This window comes from Homo sapiens, chromosome 11 (assembly GCF_000001405.40).
Source record: "Homo sapiens chromosome 11, GRCh38.p14 Primary Assembly".
NCBI lineage: Eukaryota > Metazoa > Chordata > Mammalia > Primates > Hominidae > Homo > Homo sapiens.
This window is the reverse complement of record NC_000011.10, coordinates 47452530-47464628: the sequence shown is the minus strand read 5'-3', so window position 1 is coordinate 47464628 and position 12099 is coordinate 47452530. Positions and strand designations below refer to the sequence as shown.

At 49.0% G+C, this 12099-nt stretch overlaps 1 annotated feature.

Moving 5' to 3' along the window:
* Nucleotides 8717–9216: an enhancer, noted in NCBI's record as "H3K27ac hESC enhancer chr11:47476965-47477464 (GRCh37/hg19 assembly coordinates)". NCBI's record gives its function as "activates a minimal SCP1, AML or CMV promoter by ChIP-STARR-seq in primed H9 embryonic stem cells {active_cell/tissue: H9 hESC(primed)}" and the evidence as "EXISTENCE:reporter gene assay evidence [ECO:0000049][PMID:30033119]".

Genomic DNA, 12099 nt, shown 5'->3' with positions numbered 1-12099 from the left:
TTAAAGCAGCCATTTTGGTGTTTGAGAGGTTCACTTGTAACTGGTTGGTCAGCGGGCTCCTGCAGGGCGCTGCTGCCTGTGGGGGACGGGCAACTTCTAAAGAGCACTCCTCTCCATACTCTCACGTCACTAGATCTGAGACCAGCTCAACCATTGTTTACCCAGTGTCGTTTGTTTTTATTGTGACAAAATCAAATTTGCCATTTTAAACACTTTTAAGTATAATTTTTAAGAATTTTGTTTTACTTTGGAGTATAGATTCAAGTTGCCCTGAATATATACTCCCTATAATTTTATAATTTACTACCATTAAACACATTCACAATGCTTGTGCAATCATCATCACCTGATTTTTTGTTTTTGAGACAGGGTCTCACTGTCAACGACGCTGGCATACAGTGGTGCAGTCATTGCTCACAACAGCCTCAGCCTCCCCAGGCTCATGTGATCCTCCCACCTCAGCCTTCGAATAGCTGGGACTTACAGGCACATGCCATCATGCCTAGCTAATTTTTGTATTTTTTGTAGAGACAGGTGTCGCCATGTTGCCCAGGCTAGTCTTGAACTTCTGGACTCAAGCAGTCTGCCTGCCTTGGCCTCCCAAAGTGCTGGGATTACAGGCATGAGCCACCATGCACAGCCCCATTACCACCTAATTTTGTAAATCAACTTGAAATGTACTTTTTTCATTCTGACCCACTGATATTTGTGAAATTACAAGTTTGATGCTGTAATCATTACATTATAAAATACACATTAGCAGGGCTCGGTGGCTCCGCCTGTAATCCCAACACTTTGGGAGGCCAAGTGGGAGGATCAATTGAGACCAGGCTGGGCAACAGAGTGAGACCCCATCTCAACAAAAAATAAAATCAGGCATGGTGGCACACACCTGGGGTCCCAGCTACTCCAGAAGCAAAGGTGGAAAGATTGCTTGAGCCCAGGAGGTCCAGGCTGCAGTGAGCTGTGATCATGCCACTGCACTCCAGCATAGGTGGCAGAGTGAGACCCTGTCTCCAAAAATACACACACACACACATATAACTACTAATATAAAGTGTCCATGGAGTGCCTTCTTAGTGAGTTCTGCATTTCACACTTGGGGAAATTGGTGTAGTGGAGGGCAAGGGTAGAGAATCAGAGGCTTCCCCCTCAGACTCTCTTCCTGGGCCTTTTATCTAAAAATAGAATATTAAGTATAACTTGAGCATCTTTTAATTGAAATAATGCTTAAAGGCTGTTGCTTCTCTTTAAAATTGACCCAAGGCCGGGCACGGTGGCTCACGCCTGTAATCCCAGCACTTTGGGAGGCCGAGGCAGGCAGATCACGAGGTCAGGAGATCAAGACCATCCTGGCTAACACGGTGAAACCCCGTTTCCATTAAAAATACAAAAAATTCTCTGGGCATGGTGGCGGGCGCCTGTAGTCCCAGCTACTCCAGAGGCTGAGGCAGGAGAATGGCGTGAGCCTGAGCTGGCAGTGAGCCGAGATCGCGCCACTGCACTCCAGCCTGGGCGACAGAGCAAGACTCCATCTCAAAATAAATAATAAATAAAATTGACCCAAAAAAGGAAATATGTCAAGTACTATTTCAGCCTTTTAAAAAAGTTTAGGCTTTTGCATATTTATTATAATAAAGCTGTATCTTTTTTTGAGACGCAGTTTATCTCTTGTTGTCCACTCTGGAGTGCAATGGTGCGATTTCAGCTCACTGCAACCTCTGCCTCTCAGGTTCAAGCGATTGTCCTGCCTCAGCCTCCCTAGTAGCTGGGACCACAGGCACGCACCACCATGCCCAGCTAATTTTTGTATTTTTAGTAGAGATGGGGTTTCACCATGTTGATCAGTCTGGTCTCGAACTCCCAACCTCAGGTGATTGACCTGCCTTGGCCTCCCAAAGTGCTGGGATTACAGGCATGAGCCACCGTGCCTGGCCAATAAAGCTGTATCTTAATTAAGTGTTTTGTTGGATTTTGTTTTGTTTTTGTTTTTGTTTTGAGACAGAGTCTTGCTCTGTCACCCAGTCTGGAATGCAGTGGCACAGTCTGCTCACTGCAGCCTCCACCTCCCAGGCTCAAGCAACTCCCTTGCCTCAGCTTCAGGCATGTGCCACCACATTCGACTAATTTTTTGTATTTTTAGTAGAGACAGGGTTTCACCATGTTAGCCAGGCTGGTCTCAAACTCCTGGCCTCAAGTTGATCACCCACCTTGGCCTCCCAAAGTGCTGGGATTACAGACATGAGCCACCTCGCCCGGCCAATGTTTTGTATTCTTTGAAAACCTCTTCATCCTTCTGTAGCTTGCTCAACACCTACTTTTTGCCACATTCCTGTTCATCTGGCTGGCAGAGGCACCTCCGCACTGACTTTCTCGGTCAGCACACAGCTTCCCTAATGCTCACATACTATGCTCACCTGAGCAGCTCGGTCCCTGATGAGGAAAAAGCCACCAGGCTGGAAATTAAACACCAGGTTGTGCCTGCACCTCAGGGAATGTCAGACTAATGTTTGATAATATTTCCCTTCAGGAGAGATCGGAGCTGGACTTGCCTTGCACCTTGTGCCTTCAAGCATTTTCCTTCCTTCTCAGGAGTCCTTTCCAACCCCCACCATCTGGTGTTTAATTGCTTTTGCATGCATTGACTTTCTCTGTACTGGTTGAAGGCTCCAGCTATAGGGAAGGCTTTTGTTTTTTAAAAATTCAAGGCAGGTCGGGCGCGGTGGCTCACTCCTGTAATCCCAACACTTAGGGAGGGCAAGGCAGGCAGATCAGTTGAGTTCAGGAGTTGAAGACCAGCAGTGCTAGCATGGTGAAACCCTGTCTCTACCAAAAATACAAAAATTAGCTGGGCATAGTGGCGGGCACCTGTAATCCCAGCCACTCGGGAGGCTGCGGCAGGAGAATCTCGAACCCGGCGGGCGGAGGTTGCAGTGAGCCAAGATCATTCCGCTGCATTTCAGTCTGGGCGACAGAGTGAGACTCCCATCTCAAAAATAAATTGAAGGCAGCCTTGGGATGGGAAATTGAACTCACACAACCAGGAAGGGCTTTCCCGCAGTCCCCGACACTTTCCAGGCCCAGGTCTTGGCCTGCTCTACCCAAGGTTTTTCCATTAGTGGGGATGGGTCTTACTAATCTGAGTCCTCTTGAGATTTGGGTTGTATTTAAACGGCTTTATTGCATGACGTGGTGGCTCATGCCTGTAATTCCAGCACCTTGAAAGACCAAGGTCGGTGGACCACTTGAGGCCAGGAGTTCAAGACCAGCCTGGCCAATATAGCGAAACCCCTTCTCTACTAAAAATAAACCAGGCATGGTGGCGCATGGCTGTAATCCCAGCTACTCAGGAGGCTGAGGCACAAGAATTGCTTGAACCCAGGAGGCGGAGGTTGCAGTGAGCAGAGATTGTGCCACTGTCCCAGCCCAGGGAACAAAGTGAGACCGAGACCCTGTCTCAAGAAAAAAATAATAAACAGGTTTATTGAGATATAATTCACACACAACACAACTCATCCACTTAAAGCATACCATTCACTGAGTTTCAGAGTTGTGCAACCATGAATGCAGCCTAATTTTAGAACATTTTCAGAACCCTGTACTCATTTAGCAGTCACTCCCCATCCTCTCCCTCACTCCCTTTCCCATTTCCTAGTAACCACAAATATACCTCTGTCTGTATCTTTACTGGTTCTGGACATTTCATTAAAATACAGTCATGGGATATGTGGCCTTTTGTGTCTGGCCTTCACTTAGTCAACATCCTGAGGTATTTTCTCCTTTCTTCCTCCTACTTGAAAGCTAGTGGCAGCACCCACTGCCTTGTGGCACCTGCTCCTGCCATCCCTCATCCTTCTGAGCTTGTCTGCTCCCAATCCAGCCTTGTTTCTGCAGCTCTCCCAGCTCCTCTTTCTGGTTGCCGATATTATCTGCCTCAGCCTGAATCTGGAAGGCTTCTAGACTCACAGTTGTCCAATACAGTTACCCACTAGGCACTGTAGCTTTTTTTGTTTAAATAACTAAATATGGGCCCAGCCAGTGGCTCACCTTACCTCTCCATGCCTGTAATCCCAGCGCTTTGGGAGGACGAGGCAGGCGGATCACTTGAGGTTGGGAGTTTGAGACCAGCCTGACCGACATGGAGAAACCCCGTCTCTACTAAAGATACAAAATTAGCCCCGCGTGGTGGTGCATGCCTGTAATCTCAGCCACTCGGGAGGCTGAGGCAGGAGAATTGCTTGAACCCGGGAAGTGAAGGTTGTGGTAAGCTGAGATCATGCCATTGCACTCCAGCCTGGGCAACAAGAGCGAAACTCCCTCTTAAAATAACAAAAATGTAGTACCTCGGTTTCACTAGCCACATTTCAAGTGACTGGTGGCTATCCTATTGGACAGTGCCGATACAAAACATTTCCATCATCACAGGCAGTGGCAGGACTGTTCTAGACAGTTTGCTGTTTTTGTTTGTTTGCTTGTTTGTTTTTGAGATGGAGTCTCACTGTTGCCCAGGCTGGAGTGCAGTGGCAGGATCTCGGCTCACTGCAGCCTCTGCCCTCTGGGTTCAAGCAGTTCTCCCGCCTCAGCCTCCCGAGTAGCTGGGACTACAGGCACCTGGCATCACACCTGACTAATTTTTCTATTTTTAGTAGAGACGGGGTTTTACCATGTTGGCCAGGCTGGTCTCGAACTCCTGACCTCAGGTGATCCGCCCACCTCAGCCTCCCAAAGTGCTGGGATTACAGGCGTGAGCTACCACGCCCGACCTATTCTGCTTTTAAGAAAACAAAGCCACCATTTATTAATCAGCCACAGCCACTGCATTCGTCCTCCCAGCAACTGGTAGCATAGGAAGATAGACTGAGGCACAGAGAAGCTGCAGTTCTTCTGTTCATGTGGCTAATAAGTAGGACAGTTGTGTTTTCATGCAGGCCAACCTGACCCCGTAGTCCTGTAGAACATATTCCTTTGAGGGGTCACTAAGGTGGACCCTGGGGTGCCCTGGTTTAAATTCCACCTCTGGGACAGAGCTTCATGAAGACAGGAGCCATACTTCATTTCTCACTGGAGGCCTCACCATTCCACACACACTGGCGGGTAAGTATTCAGTAGACATTTCTGTCACCATCCAACACAAATGACCGCCAAGTCCCTCAGAGCGACTTTACAGGAATTCTAATACAACTTCTGAGTCCGCTCACCAGGGGCCCTGCCACTTGAAGTTGGTGCCAGCACCTGTTTCAGTAGCAGGGCCCTGTGCTGTTAGAGGTTCCCCCTTGGCGGTCAGGGAAGGACCCAGGTGAGGGGAGCCTACCTGTGGCCATTCAGCCCTGAGAGTGCCACTAACCTGCCCTTCCCTAGAATGGGATGTGCCTGGAGCCCGAAACACCTGACAGCAATGACTTGTTTACAAAATCAGGTGAGGGTTTGAATTTTTTTTTTTTTTTTGAGATGGAGTGTCACTCTTGTTGCCCAGGCTGGAGTACAGCAGTATGGTATCAGCTCACTGCAACCTCCGCCTCCCAGGTTCAACCAATTCTCCTGCCTCAGCCTCCTGAGTAGCTGGGATTACAGGCGCGTGCCACCACGCCTGGCAAATTTTTGTATTTTTAGTAGAGATGGGGTTTCACCATGTTGGTCAGACTGGTCTCGAACTCCTGACCTCGTGAGCCACCACGCCTGGCCTTAATTTTTTTTTATTAAATGCAAAACATTTAGGTGGTTCTTCAAAAGGCTTAGAGTATGTTGGGGAAATCTTTGTTTTAAGGATTCCCTAATCCGGTAATACCAAGTCTACCATCAGCACCCCTGTGACCTTGGACAAATTACTTGATTCTCAGCCCCAGATTGTTCATCTGTTAAATGGAAACAAAAGCACCTGCCCCGTACAGTTGGGAAGATGAGAGATTGTCTCAAAAACTAGCCAAAGGGGCCGGGTGTGGTGGCTCATGCCTGTAATCCCAGCACATGGGGAGGCGAAGGCAGGGGGATTGCTTGAGCCCAGGAGTTCAAAACCAGCCTGGGCAACATAGCGAGACTCCATCTCTACAAAAAGAATAAATGCACAGCCGGGCGCGGTGGCTCACGCCTTTAATCCCAGCACTTTGGGGGGCCGAGGCGGGCGGATCACGAGGTCAGGAGATCAAGACCATCCTGGCTAACAAGGTGAAACCCCGTCTCTACTAAAAATACAAAAAAAAAAATTAGCCGGGAGTGGTGGCGGGTGCCTGTAGTCCCAGGTTCTCAGGAGGCTGAGGCAGGAGAATGGCGTGAACCTGGGAGGCGGAGCTTGCAGTGAACCGAGATGCCGTCACTGCACTCCAGCCTGGGCGACAGAGCAAGACTCCGTCTCAAAAAAGAATAAATGCACAAACAAATAGCCAAGCTACTGCCCCTGGCAAGCACTCATTAAAGTCGCTAGTAACAACAGTAAGTCATGGTTAAAAGTGAGCGAATGCCCCATCCCACAGCCCATTGATAACAGATGGGGTCATATGCTTCCAGGATTTTGCTTTTTTCTTTCTTTTTTTTTTTTTTTTTTTTTTGAGACGGAGTCTCGCAGTCTCGCTCTGTCACCCAGGCTGGAGTGCAGTGGCGCAAACTCGGCTCACTGCAAGCTCCACCTCTTGGGTGCATGCCATTCTCCTGCCTCAGCCTCCCGAGTAGCTGGGACTACAGGCACCCGCCACCACGCCCAGCTAATTTTTTGCATTTTTAGTGGAGACGGGGTTTCACCATGTTAGCCAGGATGGTCTGGATCTCCTGACCTCGTGATCCGCCAGCCTCGGCCTCCCAAAGTGCAGGGATTACAGGCGTGAGCCACCGCACCTGGCCGGATTTTTCCTTATAAACACAAAAAATAAGTAATTTTTGTTAATAAAAATGAGATCATGTTGAGATCATGCTGAGTATGGTAGCTCGGATTATGCCTATAATCCCAGCACTTTGGGAGGCTGAAGCAGGAGGATTACTTGAGCCCAGGAGTTTGAGACCAGCCTGGGCAACACAGACCTGTCTCTACAAAAAATTTAAAAAATTAGCCAGGTGTGATGGCACACACCTGTAGTCCAAGCCACTTGGGAGGCTGAAGCGGGAGGATTGCTTGAGCCCAAGAGGTTGAGGCTGCAGTGAGCCATGATCGCACCACTGTACTCCAGCCTGGGTAACAGAGCGAGACCCTGTTTCAAAAAAAAAAAAAAAAAATGGCTGGGTGCAGTGGCTCACGCCTGTAATCCCAGCACTTTGGGAGGCCAAGGCGGGCAGATCACGAGGTCAGGAGATCGAGACCATCCTGGCTAACACAGTGAAACCCCGTCTCTACTAAAAATACAAAACTAGCCAGGCATGATGGTGCATGCCTGTAATCCCAGCTACTCGGAGGCCGAGGCAGAAGAATCACTTGAACCCAGGAGGCGGAGGTTGCAATGAGCCGAGATCGCGCCATTGCACTCCAGCCTGGGCAACAAGAGCGAAACCATCTCAGAAAAAAAAGGCCAGGTGCGGTAGTTCATGCCTATAATCCCAGTACTTTAGGAGGCCAAGGCGGGTAGATCACGAGGTCAGGAGATCCAGACCATCCTGGCTAACACAGTGAAACCCTGTCTCTACTAAAAATACAAAATATTAGCCGGGTGTGTTGGCAGGCACCTGTAGTCCCAGCTACTCAGGAGCCTGAGGCGGGAGACTAGCTTGAACCCGGGAGGCGAAGCTTGCAGTGAGCTGAGATCGCGCCACTGCACTTCAGCCTGGGTGACAGAGTGAGACTCCGTCTCAAGAATAATAATAATAATAAAATAAAAATCACACCGTAATATACAGAATGTTTTGCAGCTTGTTTTTTTTTTTTTTTTTTTTTTAGAAGGAGTCTCACTCTTGTTAGCCAGGCTGGAGTGCAGTGGCACGATCTCGGCTCACCGCAACCTCTGCCTCCCGGGTTCAAGCGATTCTCCTGCCTCAGCCTCCTGAGTAGCTGGAATTAACAGGTGCCCGCCACCATGCCCAGCTAATTTTTTGTATTTATTAGAGACCAGGTTTCACCATGTTGGTCGGGTTGGTCTTGAACTCCTGACCTCAGGTGATCCACCTGCCTCGGCCTCCCAAAATGCTGGGATTACAGCCGTGAGCCACCACGCCCAGTCTGCAGCTTGCTTTTTTAAGTTACTATGCCCTGGGCTCCCTTCCATCTGGGTACACAGGTATCTACTGCTTCCTTATTTAGAGTCTACATAGCACTTCATGGTTATGAACACCCTTCTATCAGACACAGATTCTTTCTAGTTTTTCACTACCGTAAATAATAAGCCAATAGAGGGATGTTAGTTCAATGGCTTCTTTTCAAAGCAAGTTATCTTATCATCTCATTTGATTTTCACAGAAAACTTGCCAGAGAGGTGATATCTTTTTTTTTTTTTTTTGGAACAGAGTCTCGCTCTATCGCCAGGCTGGAGCGTAGTGGTGCAATCTCTACTCACTGCAACCTCCGCCTCCCGGGTTCAAGCGATTCTCCTCCTTCAGCCTCCCACGTAGCTGGGACTACAGGCACGCACCACCACGCCAGCTAATTTTTGTATTTTTAGTAGAGACAGGGTGTCACCATGTTGGGCAGGATGGTCTCAATCTCTTGACCTTGTGATCCGCCTGCCTCAGCCTCTTAAAGTGCTGGGATTACAGGCGTGAGCCACCACGCCCGGCCAATATCTTTTTAATTGGGGAAACTAACTTGGTAAGATGGGGAGACTTCCCAAGAATCCCGATAGTCGTGGTAGAGGGACCTTGGGACTGTCCCCTTCAGTTACATTTCGTCATGCATCTGGAGCAGGGGCTGCAACTGTGATGTACTCATGTGAAAGGAGGCCAGCATAAGACAAGTGGCATTTGGCTTCAGTGTCAAGGCGAGAACAGGGAGTCAGGGGTGCATGGTTCCAATGAATGAATTGGTAAGACATTCATGGTCTCTTGGGGCCAGACCCCGACCACTGGAGTGGTTGGTAGGCAGTCAAGGTCTGAGCATGCGTGAGTTTCCACTTTTTTTTTTTTTTTTTTTTTTTTTGAGACAGAGTTTTCCTCTTGTCACCCAGGCTGGAGTGCAATGGCACAATCTCGGCTCACTGCCACCTCCACCTCCCAGGTTCAAGCAATTCTCGTGCCTCTGCCTCCTGAGTAGCTGGGACTACAGGTGCATGCCACCATGCCTGGCTAATTTTTTGTATTTTCCATGGAGACAAAGTTTCATCATATTGGCCAGGCTGGTCTCGAACTCTTGAGCTCAGGTGATCTGCCCGCCTCAGCTTCCCAAAGTGCTGGGACTACAGGAGTGAGCCCCTGCACCAGGCCAAGCTTCCACTCTTCAAGAGAAGCAAGGAAATGTACATTTTTATGTAAAATCTCCTAGATAACACATGTTGCCAACCAACTCAGAAATATTTAGTCCTCACATGCCAGATTGTGACTCTTGCTTCAGGCCCAAACTTAATTTTCTACTTTTGATTATAAAACAGGGATCTAAAATGTGAGGTGTGCAGCTGGTACCTGGCCCAGCAGGCACTCTGGTGATAGCCCTGAATCCCCCGACTGTATCACCACCTTGTGAGGTTAAGTGGCACTGAAAAGACCATTTCATTTTGTGGCTGTTCCCTAACACCTTCCAGGGCTTTTCATCTACTGGGCACTGGTAAGCAAGTCTTAACTCTTTACCCTCTCCTTAATACATGCCTTCTGCCCACCCAGGCTACAGCTTTGGATAAGTTCCCAGTGACTTTGCTGTGCTTCAGGTAAAGATCGCAATGAATTCCGGAAAACTATTGTTCTGTTCTCCACTTTCTCCATCTCCCTTGTCCTCGCCTCCTTTCTAGTACAGTATAATGGTTAAGAATGGGAGTCCTGGCCAGGTGTGTTGGCTCACACCTGTAATCCCAGCACTTTGGGAAGCCGAGGCAGGCATATCACCTGAGGTCAGGAGTTCGAGACCAGCCTGGACAACATGATGAAAGCCCGTCTCTACTAAAAATACAAAAAAAAAAAAAAGCCAAGAGTGGTGGCACGTACCTATAATTCCAGCTACTCAGGAGGCTGAGGCATGAGAATCGCTTGAACCCGGGAGGTGGAGGTTGCAGTGAGCCAGGATTGCGCCACTGCACTCCAGCCTCGGCAACAGAGCTAGATTCCATCTCAAAAAAAAAAAAAAAAAGAACGAGACTCTACAACCACACTGCTTCTGGTCCCAGCTGTCTAGGACCAGCAGATGGCAGTGTAGTCTTGGGCAGGTCACCTTACCTCTCCATGCCTGTTTCCTCATTTGTAAACTGGAAGAAATGCTTAACTCAGAAAATGTTAGAATGTTAAATAGGATTCTCTGTTGGTCTCCTCTTACCTTGCCAGGGGCCGTGCCGTTAGTTACTAGTAGTACAAAGACAAGTAAACCACAGTCGTTGCCATAGAGGAGCATGCCCTTAACCTAACTACAGTCGCTGATTTCTGGAAAACGTGCTCAGAAATGAAATTTTTGAGGCCGGGCATGGTGGCTCACGGGAGGCTGAGGCGGGCAGATCACTTAAGGCCAAAAGTTCGAGACCAGCCTGGCCAACATGGTGGAACCCCGTCTCTACTAAAACTGCAAAACTTAGCCAGGTGTAGTGGTGCTCGCCTGTAATTCCAGCTTCTTGGGAGGCTGAGGCAGGAGAATTGCTTGAACCCAGGAGGCAGAGGTTGCAGTGAGCCGAGATCCCACTGTGTCCGCAGTTGGTTCCTTCTAGTGGGTTCGTGGTCCCGCTGACTTCAAGAATGAAGCCGTAAACCTCTGTGGTGAGTGTTACAGCTATTAAAGGTGGTGCAGACCCAAAGAGTGAGCAACAGCAAGATTTATTGTGGAGAGCAAAAGAACAAAGCTCCCACAGCGTGGAACGGAACCTAAGCGGGTTTCTGCTGCTGGCTTGTTGGGGTGGGGATGGGCTGGTCGGGGAGGCAGCTTTTATTCCTTTATTTGTCTCCACCCATGTCCTGCTGATTGGCCCATTTTACAGAGCACTGATTGGTCCATTTTACAGGGTGCTGATTGGTCCATTTTACAAATCTCCAGCTAGCTACGGAGCACCGATTGGTGTGTTTTTACAGAGCACTGATTGGTGCATTTTACAAACCTCTAGTTAGCTACAGAAAAGTTCTCCTAGTCACCACTCCACCCAGGAAGTCCAGCTGGCTTCACCTCTCACCACCACGGGCACTCCAGCCTGGGCGACAAGAGTGAAAAACTCCATCTCAAAAAAAAAAATAATAATAAAGAAGAAATGAAATGTTTCAAGGAAACATAAGGTACTCTGCTACCTAGAATAAGCGAGTATGGGCATATTCCCATCACTGAAGTCAGATGAGCAAAGACCTGTCTCAGGGAAAGGACAGCTTGATCCCATCAAGTTTTCAAGTTTTGAGGTCATTTGAGTTCCCCAGGAAAGAGGAAGGCTGTGGTCCCCAACTCTGTTGGGGTGTAGATGCAGGCCGCCCTTCCTCCATTCCTTCCTGCCAGAGACTCAATGTGAATAGTGTCTGGGCCTTGGAGTGGGGAGAATCTGCTGGCCCTTCACACCTTCGCTGTGGGCCCAGCTTCCCTCCCATCTGCAGCTCAGCATCAACCCAGGCCTCCCTGAGATGAGAGAAGACCCCAGCCAGCTCTCCCTCCCTTTCCCAGGCTTAGGAGCACTCCTTTGGGGAGTCCAGGTGGCCTTGCCCAGCCACCTGTCCCAGAGCCTGCTCCCACTCTGCCTCTGTTGAGCCTGGGGCATTTGCCTTCTGACCCCCAGAGCGTCCCCTCTGACCCGTTGGGCTCTCAGGAAGCAGGCCGTGTAGTTGCTCTGAATTTCCCGGTGAAGCCGTCTTTCCTCCGCTTCTTCCCCATTCACCGATATTTGACATTTATTGAGGGGCCACAGTGTGCCGGGCCTTGCTCTGGGAATACAGTCAGTAATGAAGGAGACAAAGTCCTGCCCTGGGTTAGGGCCCAGCCATATGACCTCATTTGAGTGAAGAATAAAGACATTCAGCAAACAACCTCACTAATATAAAATTATAGAGAGGCTGGGCGTGGTGGCTCACGCCTGTAATCCCAGCACT